The sequence below is a fragment of the Homo sapiens genome, chromosome 16 (assembly GCF_000001405.40).
Source record: "Homo sapiens chromosome 16, GRCh38.p14 Primary Assembly".
In the NCBI taxonomy this organism is placed as follows: domain Eukaryota; kingdom Metazoa; phylum Chordata; class Mammalia; order Primates; family Hominidae; genus Homo; species Homo sapiens.
Window position 1 is genome coordinate 23,482,085 of NC_000016.10, and position 18,118 is coordinate 23,500,202.

Below are 18,118 nucleotides of genomic sequence, written 5' to 3' on the forward strand. Positions count from 1 at the left end.
GGTGAAATGTCATCTTACAAAAATACAAAATTAGCCAGGCGTGATGGTGGGTGCCTATAATCCCAGCTACTTGGGAGGCTGAGGAAGGAGAATGGCTTGAACCAGGGAGGTAGAGGTTGCAGTGAGCCAAGACTGCACAACTGCACTCTAACCTGGACGACAGAGCGAGACTCCATCTCCAAAATAATTAAAAGAAAAAGAAATGTCTAGAATTTGCTTCAAAACAGACTAGGGAATGGGTGTGTACAAAGAGAGGTACAGATGAAGTAAGATTAAAAAAATCAGCTATGAGCTGGTAATTATTAAAGATGAGTGAAGAATATATAGGTTTTACTATTCCCCTCTCTCATGTTTCGAGATTTTCCACAATAAAGAGTTAAAATTCTTTTTTAGTAACTGTGGACAATTCTCCACTTCCTTACAGATGTACCTTCCATTTCCCATCGGCCTGGCCCTCTTAGTTGACCTACCTGGCCCCTGAAGGTACAAAAGCCCGTGATCCCCTTGAGACACCACCCACAGCTGTTTCTCTGGCCCCTGCGATTGGTCAGCTTTTCCTGAAGCCTCCAGTGGGATCTTTCTTCTACCTCTCACACCCCAATCTCCATGGTCAATTTCCACTTCTTTTCAGGCTTTAGACCTGCTGCTGATTTCTTACTGAAGCCTGGATCCTGCTGGAAGTCAGTTCTGAGGCAACTCAGGCCACACCCTCCCCAAGCCCAAGCTCCACGGAACCGAAAGTCCACTCTGTCTTGTTCCTGGCACAGCAGTGTGACAGGAGGGACCGAGTCTGTCTTGCACCTGGGCTGCTAGCTACACCCAAGGAAAGAAAACTTACCGAGTGCATCATCGTCATCAGTGGTGTCACTCGCCAACCGGAACAGCGTGGGCCGCAGCTTTTCACACCTCTCATACACGACCTGAAAGAGCAGAGCTTGGTTCATGACACACGCCCAGGCACCCCATAACGCCCCCCTCCAGGGCCCCAGGAGCCTTCGATCAGGCAGACGGCAGAGTCTGGGGCTTCAGAAGGCCTCCCAATGGTCCTGACTTAGAGACTGCAGTTTTGAAGTAACATGACAGAGTTTCAGAAAAAGACTACAGGCTACAAGTGTATGATTTCTGAAAATAAAATAATCTGACCGGGCAGGGTGGCTCACGTCTGTAATCCCAGCACTTTAGGAGACCAAGGTGGGCTGATCACCTGAAGTCAGGAGTTCAAGACCAGCCTGGCCAACATGGTGAAACCCTGTCTCTACTAAAAATACAAAAGTTAGTGGGTGCCTGTAATCCCAGCTACTCGGGAGGCTTTCTCTTAGGAATTTGGAAAGACAGTAGTTCATTTCTACTAATCTTGTGAAGTGGAAGGACAGGTAAATAAAGAAGTTACGTGGAGGCTGGCTCTCCTCCTGTGCAGAGAGACATAAAAAACTGGAATGCAGAGGGAGATGGCTGAAACAGACCTGCAGAAGGAGGTGGAGAACAGAGTTCCAAGGGAGACCAACAGCATGGCTGCCTCGAACCTGGCACAGACAGGCTGTGGTTTCTTTTTGATTGTTTGTTTTTTTGGTTTTTTTTTGAGACAGAGTTTCACTGTTGTTGCCCAGGCTGGAGTGCAATGGTGTGATCTCAGCTCACCGCAACCTCCGCCTCCTGGGTTCAAATGATTCTTCCTGCCTCAGCCTCCTGAGTAGCCGGGATTACAGGCATGCGCCACCACGCCCGGCTGATACTGTATTTTTAGTAGAGATGGGGTTTCTCCATGTTGGTCAGGCTGGTCTTGAACTCCTGAACTCAGGTCATCCGCCTGCCTCGGCCTCCCAAAGTGCTGGGATTACAGGCATGAGCCACTGCGCCCGGCTGGGCTGTGGTTTCTTAGATGTGATAACAAAAGCACCAGGAAGACATTAAAAAAAAAAAAAGGCCAGGCATGGTGGCTCATGCCTGTAATCCCAGCACTTCAGGAGGCCAAGGCAGGTGGATCACCTCAGGCCAGGGTTCAAGACCAGCCTGGCCAACATGGTGAAACCCTGTCTCTACTGGCCAGGCACAGTGGCTCACACCTGTAATCCCAGCACTTTGGGAGGCTGAGACGGGTGGATCACCTGAGGTCAGGAGTTCGAGACCAGCCTAACCAACATAGAGAAACCCTGTCTCTACTTAAAAAAAAAAAAAAATACAGAATTAGCCAGGCGTGCTGGCACATTCCTGTAATCCCAGCTCCTCGGGAGGCTGAGGCAGGAGAATCGCTCGAACCCGGGAGGCAGAAGTCGTGCGGAGCTGAGATCACGCAATTGCACTCCAGCCTGGGCGACAGAGCGAGACCTTGTCTCAAAAAACAAAACAAAACAAAACTCCCGCTTCAAAAGATGCTATCAAAATAGTGAAAAGACAGCCCAAAGGAAGGGAGAAAACTGTCTGATAAGGAACCTGTATCCAGAATATATAAAAAACGCTTGTAACTCAAAAAAGACAATCCAAAAGATGGGCAATGGATTTGCACAGACATGTCTTCTAAGATGCACAAGCTGCCAATGAGCATAGGAAATAAATAAGCCATCAAGAAACAGAAAGTTGCAATGAGACAGTACTTCACACCCTCCAGGAGGACTCCAATCAAAAAGATAACAGCAAATGTTGGCAGGATGCAGAGAACTGGAGCCAATACATTGCTGCTGGGAATGTAAAATGGCATGGCCACTTTGGAAAACAGCTTGGCAGTTCCTCAAAATGTTAAATATGGAGTTACCCCAAGATCCAGCAATTCCATTTCTAGGTATATACCCAAGAGAATTTAAAACCTATGTTCACATAAAAACTTGGACAAAGTTCAAAGTCATTATTCGTAATGAATAATTCAAAGGCATCATTCATAATAGCCAAAAAGTAGGAACAACCCAAATGCCCATCAGCTGATAAATGGAGAAACAAACTGTGGCATAGCCACACAATGGAACGCTATCCAGCCATGAAAAGGAATGAAGCAGTGACACATTACCAGATGGATGCACCTGCAAACATTAGGCTACGTAAAGGAAGCCAGACACGAAAGCCCACGTATTGTGCAACCGCATTTGGACGAAGCATCCAAATAAGCAAATCCAGAGAGACAGAAAGTGGATTAGTGGTTGCCAGGGACTGGGGAAAGGGGAGTTTGGGAAAGGGGGAATGACTGTTAATGGGTACAAGGTTTCTTTTAGGGGTGATTAAGATATTCTATAACTAGGTAGGTGTGATGGTTGCTTTTATGGTATGTTAATTATCTCATAAAGATGCTATATAAAAACCAAGATCTCAAGATGTGGAGGAGCTAGAACTTGCATATGCTGCTGTTAGGACTGTAAAATGGTGCAATCACCCTTGAAGATAGCTTAGCCACTTTGTTTCCTAACAAGTTAAATATATACTTAGCATATGACCTAGTAATCCCAGACATTTACCCATAAGAAATGAAAATCGATGTTCACACAAAATCCCGTACAAAATTGTTTACAGTAGCATGATTCACAATCACCCAAAGCTGGAAACAACGCAAGGCCCATCAACAGGTACATGCTGTGGTACATCCAGGTGACGGGACAGTACCCGGCAATAAGAAACAAGCTACTGCTACACACAGCAACGTGAATGGATCTCGAGTGAGATCCAGAAACCAGGCAAAAATAGAGGGTTATGTACTGCATCATTCCATTTATACAAGAGTCTGGGAGTTGTCAGCCAATCAGAACAGAAAGCAAATTAGCAGCTGCCTGGGGACTGGGGAGCAAGGGACAGACAAAGGGAGGACAAAGCAGCACAACGACATTTGGGGAGGTGTCAGATATGTTTACCGTCTTGACTCTGAGATGGCTTCATGGGTGCAAACAGGTGAAAGCATTTCAAACCCACTTTAGTAAACATGTGCAGCCCCCTGTGTTACACCTGTATTACCTGCAGGGCCTCCTGGTCGGGCGGGGCCTGCCCTGGCCTGCGGTACATGCTCAGCATCTCCTGCAGCACCTTCACATGGCTTCGCACTTCCTCCACCGCACTGACCCTCTTGGACACCTTCTCCGATTTTTCTTGTTCCTTTTGGGAAAAAGAGGAGGATGGGAGTGAGGGAGCAGAAACCCTGGCTGAAGCCTGAACAAGGGATGGGAAAGAGTCACTATTGAGAGAGCTCGCTCAGGGGCATCACCAGGATGTTAAGTGCATGGGAGAACTCACACAGTGGGTGAAAAAATACTCAAAAGCCCAGAGTTCCTGGGGAGGAAAATGCAGTTTGGGGACTGGTGACCATGACCTCTGCCTTTGTGCCACCAGCCTCAAGTCCTCTGAAAAGCAGATTCCTAAACCTGGACTTTGTCCATACCAATACCTGTTGCTGGGACCCAAGCTGGTGTCTAGGAAATGCTTTGAGCAGCATGGATGAAAGCAGCTGAGAAGTACGGCAGCGGGATTTCTGGTTCCAATCACCACCTTGCTGCCCTTGAGGGAGACTATGGCTGTTCCCCAGAGTTCAGGGCTAGGAGCCACTCTTTCTCCCAGGCAACCGTTCCTCTACCCCTCAAGCATAGGCTCATATGCACTGTCCTTCAGCCTCTGTCAAATGCTACTTCTACTGAACCAACTGGAAGAATGCCCACCTCCTTGACCAAATTCTTGATTAACCGGTTTGCAGCCTGAAGGTCCTCGGGGTGGTTGCTCTTTAGAAGCCTTGTCAGAAGCTGCAGAGAGTGAACAGGAAGAGTAGGTGAGACCACAACTCCCTCAGGCCTAGAGCAGAAGCAGCAGCAACAGAAGAGTTAACACTAACAACAGTGCACACATTTTACATGCACCATCTCACCAAATGGTCCAAGGACACTACGATGCAGGCACTCTGACTATCCCAATACACCACTGGTTTTCTTTTCTGTTGTTTTTTTTTTTTTTTTGAGACGGGGTCTTGCTCTGTTGCCAGGCTGGAGTGCAGTGGCGCAATCTCGACTCACTGCAACCTCTGCCTCCCGGGTTCAAGCAATTCTCCTGCCCCAGCCTCCCAAGTAGCTGGGACTATAGGCGCGTGCCACCATGCCCAGCTAATTTTTGTGTTTTTAGTAGAGACAGGGTTTCACCATGTTGGCCAGGATGGTCTCAATCTCTTGACCTCGTGATCCACCCACCTCGGCCTCCCAAAATGCTGGGATTACAGGCGTAAGCCAGCGTGCCTGGCCTGCCACTGGTTTTCAGTGGGGTAGGGGGATGTGGGGGTTACTTCTCCCAGGGGATGTCTGGCTAAGTCTGGAGAAATTTGGTTGTCACAACTAGAGAGGGGGTGCTACTGGCAGCTCGTGGGTAGAGTGAGGAATGCTGTGAACATCCTACAGTGCACAGGACAGTCCCCAACAACAGAGAATTCTCTGGCCCAAAAGGGGACTAGGTCTGCAGTTGCCCTGGACCATGTGCTTTATGACACAACAGACCCTGGTGATCTTGTTCATCCCTTCATTTCCAGCGCCCAGCAGGATGCCTGGCACAGAGAAGTCACTCAATCTTTGTGGGACGGATGGCAGGAAAAGTGGGGATAATGAGGGCTGGTGACACAGGATTGTTTCTCAGAAGTCACACCATACCTCCTTCCTAGCTCCTCCCACCCTCTGCAAACCTAAGGCACCAAGCAGGAGGAAAGCGGAGAAAGGTGGCCTGGAACCTAGACTAGCCTTGCTCATTCTAACAACAGGGACCTGATGGCCACAGAGTATCTAGGCCCAAGGAGTGGGTACAGGGAGAGGGTGCAGTTGACAGGCAGAGCATACCACGCAGAAACGAGTACGCAGCGTGTAGCCTTCCAACACTCCATGAACTAGACCTTGTGACTGACCAAGAACAGTCATGACCAAAAGCACCGCCAGCACTAGGCCAAAGGGCTCCCCACTCACAGGCACCACAGTTATCCCTGGGTCTTGGCCACCTTCTTCTTCTTGTCCCTCTAGATACTGATGTCCAAGGAATAACGGTTTGGGGAGTTCATGGTGGATGGAAAATGGATAGGGCCGGGCTCACTGGCACTGAGAAAGAGCTGAAGCAACACACAGCAGCAAGTTCTTCCACTGTCCCCACCCCAACACCACACCCACACAGGACATGACCCATCCATCACCCACACTCCCCACGGGCTATCCTTCTGCACCTTCTTTCCCCCAGGAAGGCTGTGCACAAAAGGGAGAGGGCACAAAGTACCCTTGAAGGAGGAGCAGGAATTATGTCCTGGGCCCAGATCTACACTGGGGTAAGGCAGGATCACAAACAGATCCTACCAAGACCCAGGATGCAGTGTCTGCCTAAGAACCAGGCTGAATCAAAACAGACTGGCCCTTATTAGTTGACTTATCCATGAAGAACGCACCCAAACCTTCTGCTACCTCACTCCTAAGGGCCTGTCTGGAGAGGAGAACCCATGTAACCTGCCCCCCTCCATACTCCGATTCAAGCATCAAAGGGCATTTACAGTGCCTAAGAGAAAAGGTCTGATCAGACACCATGTAGGTCTGTTTCCTTACCTTGGACTTTTCTTCATCAGCATCAAAGATGGAGCTCTTGGGCCAGGGAGATGGTGGGGGTAAGATTTTATCCACTGGTAGTTTAGGGTCTTGTTTTATAATTCCTAAAAATGCAATTTACAAAGTTAAGACACCGATATGGTACCCAGAAACTTCAGTCAGAATCCAGTATAAAGTCTGGAAACCCCTGGTTCCTAATACCATGCTAGCAAAGCACTGTCAACAGCCTTCAAAGACAACACCCAGTGTATGAACGAAGTTTTGCATCATCTCTTAGGAGAATCCAAGGGACCATGGTGGCCGGGACAGCAGAGCCAACTATGTCAGAGAAGAGCCAGTCCTGAAGGCCTGCAGTCTGTGGGCCTTATGCTGTAAAAGCATGGATCAGTTTATCCAGCTACATAACCTCCCAGGGATCAAAAGTTTCTGGAGGGTCCCTGATGAAGCTCCTGAAAATGCTGAGTGTATGTGACAGGGAACAACAGTCCATCCTGAACCTGAGTTCCTTCTTTTAAGAGCCCAACATAAAAAGGAATTCAGATTCCCATCTTCCAAACAGGACACACAAAGGTGGGAACTATCACCCCCATCGTGACAACAACAAAACACTGGAAAGTGTGCAAATTCACAATATTTTTGTTGTTTTTGAGACAGATTCTTGCTCTGTCTCCCAGGCTAGAATGCAGTGGTGTGATCATGGCTCGCTGCAGCCTCAAACTCCTAAGGTCAAGCAGTCCTCTCACCTTGGCCTCCCAAGTAGCTGGGACTACAGGTGGGCACCACCACACCCAGGTAATTTTTTTAAAAAATTTTTTGTAGAGATGGGGGTCTCGCTATGTTGCCCAGGCTGGTCTCAAACTCCTGGCCTCAAGTGATTCCTCACCTCAAACTCCCAAAGTGCTGGGATCACAGGCGTGAGCCACCATGCCCAGCCTACAGCTTCCCTGAATACATCAGAGAGCCCAGATCACAGGGCAACAACCAAGTAACCTGAAATCTAAGGAAAAAAACAACCTCCAAGGATTGACAAAAGGCAATACCAATAGTAACAACTAAGCTAGAATTATTTAAAAATTGTCTACAGGCCAGTGTGAGCTACCAAGAGAATACAGAATTTCTGGAGGCTGCAACAAAAAGAAAATAAGCTCTTCTCCAGAGGCTCACGAAAACAGCGGGAAGGCCTGAAGGCGGGATTAGGGGGAGAAGAGTAACAAACCCTGCAGCCTTAGAGCACCGGTGGAACCCACTGCAGCTAGAGAAAAAACAGGGGAGAAAAAACAAAAACAAACCCTAGTACCCTTGGAGGAGGAGCAGGAATTATGTCCTGGGCCCAGATCTACACTGGGGTGAGGCAGGATCACAAACAGATCCTACCAAGACCCAGGATGCAGTGCCTGCCTAAGAACCAGGCTGAATCAGAACAGAGACTGGCCCTGCCCGCCACCCTATCCCTCTGACAAGGGATGGCTGTCTACTGCTACGAGTGGCAAGAACAAGGAGAAAGGCTCTCTCTGAGGTGCAGAGGAAAGTGAAGACCTACAGCTGAGAGAACAGATACTGAAGAAAACTAACAAACTAGCTAGCCCCCAACCTAAACATCAGCTAACACTAGAGGAATCTGAAGTCTGATATAGTAACTACAGCAACAACAAATCTCACACCCAGCTCAAATCCTGTCTACCAAAAGGAAAGCTCTACCCAATTCCAGGGATTAAAAACTCCTTACCTCACTGATGGATATGCCAATTACCCTGATTTGATCACTACACATTGTATGCATGTACCAAAATATCACATTGTACTCCAATAAATGTGTATAAGTATGTGTCAATTAAAAATAAATCCACAGCCGGGAGCGGTGGCTCACGCCTGTAATTCCAGCACTTTGGGAGGCTGAGGCAGGCGGATCATTTGAGGTTGGGAGTTTGAGACCAGCCTGAGCAATGTGGTGAAACCCCATCTCTACTAAAAATACAAAAATTAGCCAGGCATGGTGGCAGGTGCCTGTAATCCCAGCTACTCGAGAAGCTGAGGCACAAGAATTACTTGAACCCAGGAGGCGGAGGTTGCAGTGAACAGAGATCGCCCCACTGCACTCCAGCCTGGGCAACAGAGTGAGACTCTGTCTCAAAAGAAAAAAAAAAAAAAGAAGTAAATAAAAATAAATCCACTAAATGATTACTGAAAGATCTTTTGTAACTATAAAATATTTTATGTCTGCACGTTGTTACTTTTATCACAATAGTATTTTTCAAACTCTAGCTCATAGGTAGCATTTATCTGTACTTCATAGTAAGGTTCCACTATTTCAGGAAAAGAGGTTAAAGATGGGCATGGTGGCTCACGCCTGGGAGGCTGTGGGAGGATCATTTGAGCCCAGTAGTTTGAGACCAGCGTGGGTAACATTGCAAGACCCTGTCTCTACAAAAAATACAAATATTTGGTGTAAGTGAGACAGCAAGTGAGACAGAGACAGAGAGAGAGGAAGAGAGTGTGTGTGTTTGTGTGTGTGTGTTGGGGTGTGGGTGGGAGAATAATAATAAATGAAAAAATTAGTTGGGTATGGTGGCACACGCCTGTAGTCCCAGCTGCTTGGGAGACTGAGGCAGGAAAATGGCTGGAGTCCAGAAGGTCGAGGCTACAGTGAGCCATGACTGCACCACTGTGCTCCAGCCTAGGTAACAGGGCAACACCTTGTCTCAAAAAAAAAAAAAAAAAAAAAAACCAAAAGGTTAGTTTTTAGGCAAACAAGTCTTTTAAAAGATAAATAAGTGCTTTAGTGACATAGGTAGCTTGTATTTTGACCTTTTTCATGCTGTGGTTTCCTATGATTTCCAGGCAACAGGGAAAAAAGCAAACCCTACATCATCTTTCCAGGTTTGCACTATGGCTTTTAAAGGTAAGTAGATAAAAGATTTATTGCGTAAAAAAAAAAAAAAAAAACTCTACCTCAGTGTCTATGGTCCTACATAAGAAGTACAGCTTTCAACAAAAAATTATAAGGCAGATGAAAAAGCAAGAAGATACAGGCCTAGTCAAGAGGAAATAAGACACAGTAAGGCAAGTCAGACCTTGTTTCTTCAGCATCTGATAAGCGTCTCGAATCTTGATGTCTTCCGGAAACCAGACTGTCCAACTGAAGAGTATTTCAATGACTCTTCCTTTAACTTTTCCTGTGGCCCAGGACCCCAGGTACTGAAAGTAAAAAGGAAAGAGAATTCTAGAGCTGGAAGGGACTTGGGAGACCGACACTTTAACTAAAGAGGTAGCTGCTGAGGCCCAGAGACACAAGCTCCCAGGCGCGGTATGAGTGTGAGGAGAGACTAGAGGCCACACCATCTGGCGCCCAGCCCCGGAGCCCTTCCTGGGATTCAAGGAATTCATCTCGGCAATACTCACACTAAACCCCACCATGCAAGAGCCTGGGTCAGAGCCTGTTCTACACCACTGGGGACAGTCATTTTTTGCCTTGGACAAGAATATAATAATAAAATTTGGTCTTTGTTTCCGTTCCTGGCACAGAACTTCAAAAATCCTTGGAATTTCCTGAGTCACAAGAGTGTCTTGTTATTCAAGAGACACACTCGCAGGGTGCACCTGAGTTTTCACTAATGACTTACAGTGAGTGCCTAGAGAGCTTCAAGGGCTGGCCACTCCAAAGAGATCAACCTTGTGATCAGAGGGCTGAAACTTTCAGCCCCATCCCCTGACCGGTGCCCCCACATCCCCCCACCTGTGGAGGTGGTGGGGCGGGCAGGGGGGTGTGAACTAGAGATTGAGTTCAACTATGTGGCCAATGATTTGACCGATCATGCCTAGGTAATAAAACCTAGTGCTAGTTCAAGCCAGCAATGATGTGTAAAAAAACAAAACAAAACAAAAAAACCTCAGATGAAAACACTGAAACAAGGAAGCTCAGAGAGCCTCTCAGTTGAACCTACGTTGGGAGGATGGCAAGCTCAGAGTCCAGGGGAGGGCACAGCAGCTCTGTCCCCTCTTGCCCCACCAAGACCTTGCCTATGTATCGCTTCCATTTGTATCCTTTACAATAAAACAGGGATAGAAAGTATAGTGCTTTCCTGTGTACGTGAATCATTCTAGGGAATTATGGAATATGGGGCGGTGGGGGTCATAGGAACCCCTGAATCTGCAGCTGGGGATGCAGAAGTGCAGCAGCTTGAGGACACATGAGACTCACGGCTGGCAGCTGAAACACAGGAAGCCTAAGCAGCACTGAGCCCTCACTGCGTGGGGTCCGGGTAGCATGCAACTCAGGGGAGTGTCAGAACTGAAATGAACTGTAGGACCCATGGCCAGCATCGGCACTGTTGTGGGAACACAACAAGGCAGGGCTCAATGTTGGTTACCTGAGACTGGCTGAGCTAAGACAGGTGCCAGGAGGACAGGTACAGAGGACAAGGCAGGAGGTGATAGGAAACTTTCACGCCACCCCTGGGATCTCTCACTGTCTCTATCAGGAACCTGTGCCTCCAAGCTGGAGTTCCTCATCTCCTCTAGGCCACACGTTCCCCAGGCCTTCTTAAAAGGGAAATGTGAAAATGCTAACAGTGAGGGGCAGGGGTCAGCTAATGAGCAGAGCCTCTTCCTAGAGCTTGGAGAGGAGAGCGCTTCTTTCACAGGCAGGAGCAGGTTTTGTCCATGCGTGGGCCTGCCTCTGGCCTGAGGAGGGAGCCAGGAGTTTGACAGTGGGCGTAGGTGCGACACAGTCAGCAGAGCCAAGCCCAGGTACTCACCTTTGGGGACAACACTTTGATCAGTTCGTTCAGGAAACGAAATTTGGCCACCTCGCTGTGGAACTTCTCCCCACAGTGGTTCATGCACATCTCCAGCACCTGCACAGACACAGGACCCCCAGGAGAAGGTGGAAAGCCAGTGGTCCCAGGCTCCCCTCCAGGCTGGTAATCACTTGCTGGAGACTGCGCTGGAACCAAGGCTAACCCTGCCTCAAGCCTATGAGGACACTGAAGTTTTGATGAAGAGGACGTTTTCAGATCAAGAAAAAAATGTCCCCTGTTCAATCTTGCTATAACTGCCTGAGGTTTATGCCCAGGAAATAGCTTAGTGAGGTATGTCAAACCCTGAGGTCACCCCACCTTTTAAGGAGACCCTTTGAGAGGAGAAAGTGGCTAAAGAACCAACCCCTCCCCAGAGGCAGAGATCTGGTATCCAGTGCCCAAGACCAGCCGGATGTCACCCACTGGCACTCAAGAGGCAAGCTGAGCCTGCAGACCCCTCCTCTCGTCCATACTGTGGCTTTCAACACTGCAAATTAGTCACCAACATCTAAACACTCAAACATATACAAAGACCTAAACTAGCAACCCTGAGCCCATACTCATACCTGCCAACAGCTAGTGGGCCCTGTGCTAGAACTGCCCTCTCTAGAAAAGGCACATGAACTTGCCAGCCCTGGTCTAAGAAGGGCAAATGAAATAAAACCTTCCTTTCCTTCTCCCACAGTAGACTCAATGCTGCCCTGAAGAAACAGACGAGAAACAGGAGGAAGAAGGGTGGGGACCCTGGCCCAGATCTCCCTCCTCCAACCTGCTGTGAAGGTAAACCTCTCAGGGGACCTCCCTTCTCCAGTGAAAAGGATCTGTGTGGAAGCAAAGCGCCTCTCGGCTCTCTATAGCACAAGGACAGGAAAGGTTAGGCTACAAGGCAAGCCAAACTCACCGTTAAGGCATAAAGAGCTTCCTTCTCTTGCGGAGACTGGATCTTGTGGGCCAGTAGCCAGGGCGCATGTGTGGGGCTACAGGGAAACAAAAAGACCTAGACTCTGGGCGGGCAAAAAGAAACTAACCCGAGTGGCTGAGCATGCTCAGTAAAATCACTTTTCTTCCAGGGGCTGGTGTCCAAAAGCAGAGGTGGAGCGTGCCTGACAAACAGGCCACGCGGGGGCCCTGGAGAGGGCCACCTCGCACCCACCCTGGTTGCACCTACAGCACCCAAGGTCCTCCTCCTGCCCAGGGCACACTGCCCTCCCCTCAGCCAACCCCCAGCCCCCAAACTCCAAGCTGCCAGTCCCAGCCCAGTCCCATGAGTAGCCACAGCAGCACAGGCCCTGTATGGCTGTGATAAATACCTAGGAAATGCTAGAGCAGAAAGTGCGATCAAACTCTGGGTTCAAACTGGCCAAATATGCGACACCACACAGATTAAACATCTGGATGGGCCAGGCACAGTGGCTCACGCCTGTAATCCCAGCACTTTGGGAGGTCAGGGCAGGTGGATCACCTGAGGTCAGGAGTTCGAGACCAGCCTGGCCAACATGGTGAAGCCCCATCTCTACTAAAAAAATACAAAAAATTAGCCAGGCATGGAGGCACGCGCCTGTAATCCCAGCTACTTGGGAGGCTGAGGCAGGAGAACCACTTGAACCCGGGAGGTGGAGGTTGCAGTGAGCTGAGATCGTGCCCTTGCACTCCAGTCTTGAGACACTCTGTCTCAGGAAAAAAAAAAAAAGAAAAGAAAAGAAAACAAAACAAAAACAAAACATCTGGATGACTCACTTGATTCTGATTCTTCAGGTCCTATCCAGATGCTGTGGAAACAGAATTCAATAAAACCTTCCCCTTTTCCTTTTTCTTAAAATTACATTTAAATGGTGGAGAATACACAGATCTCTTTTAATTAGGTAACGTGTCTATAGTCTATCAGTAACATTCAGAGTTCTCCTCAGCATTAGTGTTTTATAACAGTATTTAAAATTAATAACTGCCAGTTGCAAGTGAGCTATCCTGTGTTTTTTTTCCCCCACATGAATTTGCTAATTTTAGAAAAATAATGTTCTCAGGATTATAGGGGAAAATGAGAGAATGAATGCCAGCCTGACTGCATTTCTATTTTTTTGAGACAGAGTCTCTCACTCTGTCACCCAGGCAGGTCTCAAACTCCTGGGCTCAAGCAATCCTCCTGCCTTGGTCTCCCAAACTGTTGGGATTATAGGCATGAGCCACCGATCCTTGCCTAGAGAGCTTAACCCTAAAACAGTCTTGAGAGACAAAGGCCTACACTCAGTGTGGGGTGCCCCCAGAGTCAACTATGTGTGTGAGAAGTTACCTTACCCATTGGGGTCAGTGTTCACCTGCTCACAGAAATTCTGGATAGCTGACCAATCCTGTTCCGACATGCTTGGGTCTGTGGCTTTGTCTGTCAAATAAATAATAAAGTTAGAGAGTACATAATAGGAAGAAATTTACACCCCTCCCCATACACATGGTGGCCAAGAGCTGTCTTATCACAGATCTACAGGATCAGACCAGTGGGCAGACAGCTGGAAGGAGAGGAATTGTGCCTGCGCTGCCTACCACCACCCAGCACAGCATTGGGCACATGGTATGCCCTTACTGAATATTTGCTGATTGAATGAACCAGCAAATTAACAAGCTGGCTGGGCACAGTGGCTCATGCCTGTAATCCCGGCATTTTGGGAGGCCGAGGTGGGGGGAATCATTTGAGGTCAGAAGTTTGAGACTAGCCTGACCAACATGATGAAACCCCATCTCTACTAAAAATACAAAAAAATTAGCCAGGCATGGTGATCCATGCCTGTAATCCCAGCTACTTGGGAGGCTGAGGCAGGAGAATCGCTTGAACTTGGGAGGTGGAGGTTGCAGTGAGCCAAGATTGCGCCACTGCACTCCAGCCCAGGAGACAGAGGGAGACTCTGTCTCAAAAAAAAAAAAAAAAAAAAAAAAATTAACTGACAAGTTATTCCCCTGAAAGCGGCTCCACTTTTAGTGCAGAGGTTGGCCCGGGTGTTGGCTTCACACTCGAGTTGGGATGCCCCCACCTGGCCTGTGACAAGCGGAGACAGAAGAGAGGCCACCTGGAAGTGTCTCAGCTGTGTGACAGGAAGACAAGAACACACCACCAGAAGGAATACCATCTTGACCGTTCATAAAACTTCCAGTGGCAGCATGGTGGCTCACACCTGTAATCCCAGCACTTCATGGGGCTGAGGTGCATCGCTTGAGCCCAGGAGTTTGAGACCAGCATGGGCAACATGGGGAAATCACATGCCTACTAAAATTTTAAAAAATTAAGACCAGGCGCGATGGCTCACGCCTGTAATCCCAGCACTTTGGGAAGCCGAGGCAGGTAGATCACTTGAGTTCAGGAGTTTGAGACCAGCCTTGCCAACATGGTGAAACCCTGTGTCTACTAAAAATACAAAAAATTAGCTGGGCGTGGTGGAGTGTTCCTGTAATCCCAGCTACTCAGGTGGCTAAGGCAGGAAAATTGCCTGAACCCAGGAGGTGGAGGTTGCAGTGAGCTGAGATGGCACCACTGTACTCAGCCTGGGCAACAGAGCGAGACTCCATCTAAAAAAAAAAAAAAAAAATTAGCTGGGCGTGGTGGCATGTGACTGTAGTCACAGCTACTCAGGAAGCTGAAGTGGAAAGACTGCGGCTGCAGTGAGCCAAGATCATGCCACTGCACTCCAACCTGGGTGGGAGAGCAAGATCCTGCCTCAAAAACAAAAAAAAAAAACAACCACCCTTCCAACTCCCCTCTGGCCATCTGGTCCTGGCCTGCCCAGCCTCTCTGATGAGAAACCGTACTGGTTCTGACAGAGCAGCTCTTTTAGGCTCTGGAAATGAGGCGTTGCTTCTCGGGGCAGTACTTCTGACATTATTATCCTCCTGGCCCGAGTGTCCACTCTGTTCCTCTCAGTGCCCTATCCATATTCTTCCAGACCCATCTGAATTTCCAGCTCCTGCAGAAAACTTCCTCCCGCTGCGCCAACCCCACTGCTTCTCCCTCTGATTACTCAACACAGCACAGTCCGAGTTGAATTTTTCCTGACTGCAGTCACATTTATGTCACGTGGAAGTCATGTGTCTAGATAGGGAGGGTCAACGGACAGGTAATCACCATCTTCCTGCCCACTGACTCCATTCTAAGTGAAGAGAGAACACAAGGGCGAGGGAAGGATCAGTGATTGATTCCTATATTCTCCTCCCCACCCCCGCAAAGCTCTCTCCCATGTTCCGTATCTTAAAATCCTATCTACCCTTGAGTCCCAAGTCACATTCCACCCTAAAGACTTCTCTGACCTTTTTATCTCCCGTCCCCATAAAACAAAAGCTGTCTCCTCCTCCTCTGAACAGATATTTTATCTGCCCCTTCTCCGATAGGGATCTCCAGCTACACCCATTAGTCACATGTACTTGGACTCGCTGAGCCTCAGTTTCCTCAACTATAAAATAAAGAAAATAGGGCCAGGTGCTGCAGCTCATGCCTATGATCCCAGCACTCTGGGAAGCCAAGGCAGGAGGACCGCTTGAGCCTAGGAGGTTGAGACCAGCCTGAGCAACATAACGAGACCCAATCTCCACAGAAATTTTTAAAAAAAATTAGTCAGAAGGCTGGGCGCAGTGGCTCATGCCTTAATCCTAGCACTTTGGGAGGCCGAGGAGGGTGGATTGCCTGAACTCAGGAGTTGGAGGCCAGCCTGGGCAACACGGTGAAATCCCGTCTCTACCAAAATACAAATAATTAGCTGGGCGTGGCAGCGTGCATCTATAATCCCAGCTACTCAGTAGGGTGAGGCAGGAGAATCGCTTGAACCCGGGAGGCAGAGGTTGCAGTGAGCTGAGATCGTGACACTGCACTCCAGCCTGGGTGACAAGGTGAGACTCTGTCTCCAAAAAAAAAAAAAGCCAGGCATGGTGGCACACACCTGCAGTCCTAGCTACTCAGGAGCATCACTTGAGCCCAGGAGGTGGAGGCTACAGTGAGCTATGATTGTGCAACTGCACTCCAGCCTGGGGGGACAAAATGAGACCCCGTCTCAAAAATAATAATAAAAACAGTCTGGGCACAGTGTCTCATGCCTGTAATCCCAGCACTTTGGAGGCCAAGGTAGGAGGATCGCCTGAACCCAGGACTTCGTGACAAGCCTGGGCAACATAGTGAGGCCCCATCTCTACAAATATGTTTACAAAAAATAAAACAAGGAAAATAGTACCTTCCTCATGGGACTGTCATGTGATTTAAAGGGGAAGGGTCTAAAATGCTTAGTACAGCAGCATGCAGTAAGAGGTCTACAAAGGATAATTGTTTATTATTACGTACAGTCTCTGGCTTTTACTGTAATATGTAGACATGTCTTGTCCTACCTAAAGAGAATGAAACCTTAAGGGCAGAAGCCATATCTTCCCTACAGTGCCTTACCCATACGTACAACATAGAAACTCATCAAATAAATTATTTAAAGCAGTGATTCTCAGCGATTATGTGTCTGAATCACCTAAAGTCTACACCATTTAAGCTTCTGTTTCAGTTCACTACAAGGTCAAGGTTGACACCTCAAAAGAATTCTGACTTCAGCATGTGACTGGACCTGGAGGGAGAGAAGAGCAGAGGCAGGAAGAGAACAGGGGGAGGCAGGGAGAGAACAGGAGAGGCAGAGAACAGGAGGCATGGCCCAAGCTCCCCTCACAGAATCCAGAGCCTTCTCACTCCTCCCTGGCTGCCAAGTGAAAGAGACACAGCACTGACGGGCACCACCTTTTTTTTTTTTTTTTTGATATGGAGTCTCGCTCTGTCACCCGGGCTGGTGTGCAGCGGCACAATCTCGGCTCGCTGCAACCTCCGCCTCCCGGGTTCAAGCGATTCTCCGGCCTCAGCCTCTAGAGTAGCTAGGATCACAGGTGCCCACCAACATGACTGGCTAATTTTTTGTATTTTCAGTAGAGATGGGGTTTCACTATATTGGCCAGGCTAGTCTCGAACTACTGACCTCGTGATCCGTCCACCTCAGCCTCCCAAAGTAGTGGGATTACAGGTGTGAGCTACCACACCCGGCCGGCACCAGCTTTCTTTAAGAAAGAAAAAACCTCTCTGAGGTTAAATTACGTTCCAAACCCTTAACCAAGGCCAAGCAGCAATACAATCCACAAAATGTAAGGAGGTTTCTTTCTTATTTGCTAGAGCTTGTATCATGAGGACTCAATCAAGATTTATTGGTAATCCCAGAACTTTGAGAGGCCGAGGCGGGAAGATCCCGAGTAGGGACGGGGTTTCACCATGTTAGCCAGGATGGTCTCGATCTCCTGACCTCGTGATCCGCCCGCCTCGGCCCCCCAAAGTGTTAGGATTACAGATGTGAGCCACTGTGCCCGGCTCAGTTTTCTTTTACATAAGCCTCTTCATTTGTTGAAACCATAAGACCTTCCTCACAGTGTAGAAACCTGAAAGCTCCCAGCAGCCAGCAATGAATGAAAGGTAGGGGTGGGGCCGCTGGCAGGGCGGGGCCTGGTGAACCACGTGCCTAGGCTCCCGCATCACGATGGGAACAGGGCATGTGGAGGGGACTCTGGGCCAGATTGGTTCCTGGGAACCAGGAGAGAGCTCTGGTGGTTGGCAGGGCAACCTCCTTCAGTTGGTGGGAAGCAGTGGAAGGAAGAGGAGCTCCCTCTGTGCTCTCTTCTCCGCAATCACAGCTCTCAGGCTTGTTGTATCTAGACCCATTCTAAGGAAACCAAACAGGTTCCCAAGGGACCCTTGTAGACAAGGCAGCTCAGGGGAGGCAGCTGAGGTGGGGTGCGGGCTGCTAGTGGGGAGCA

The 18,118-nt window shown here is 48.7% G+C and overlaps 1 protein-coding gene across 3 annotated transcripts in view; it reads right to left on the minus strand.

Moving 5' to 3' along the window:
- The window catches only part of GGA2 (golgi associated, gamma adaptin ear containing, ARF binding protein 2), a 60,818-nt gene that overhangs the window by 18,543 nt on the left and 24,157 nt on the right, over positions 1 to 18,118 (minus strand). For all 3 annotated transcript variants that reach the window (XM_047433801.1, NM_015044.4, XM_047433802.1), the window contains 8 exons: positions 13,610 to 13,694; positions 12,219 to 12,294; positions 11,276 to 11,374; positions 9,593 to 9,716; positions 6,522 to 6,625; positions 4,626 to 4,706; positions 3,931 to 4,068; positions 839 to 920 (listed from right to left, as the gene is read on the minus strand). In XM_047433801.1, coding sequence (XP_047289757.1) covers positions 839 to 920; positions 3,931 to 4,068; positions 4,626 to 4,706; positions 6,522 to 6,625; positions 9,593 to 9,716; positions 11,276 to 11,374; positions 12,219 to 12,294; positions 13,610 to 13,694 — 789 coding nt within the window. The remainder of the gene's footprint in view (positions 1 to 838; positions 921 to 3,930; positions 4,069 to 4,625; positions 4,707 to 6,521; positions 6,626 to 9,592; positions 9,717 to 11,275; positions 11,375 to 12,218; positions 12,295 to 13,609; positions 13,695 to 18,118) is intronic.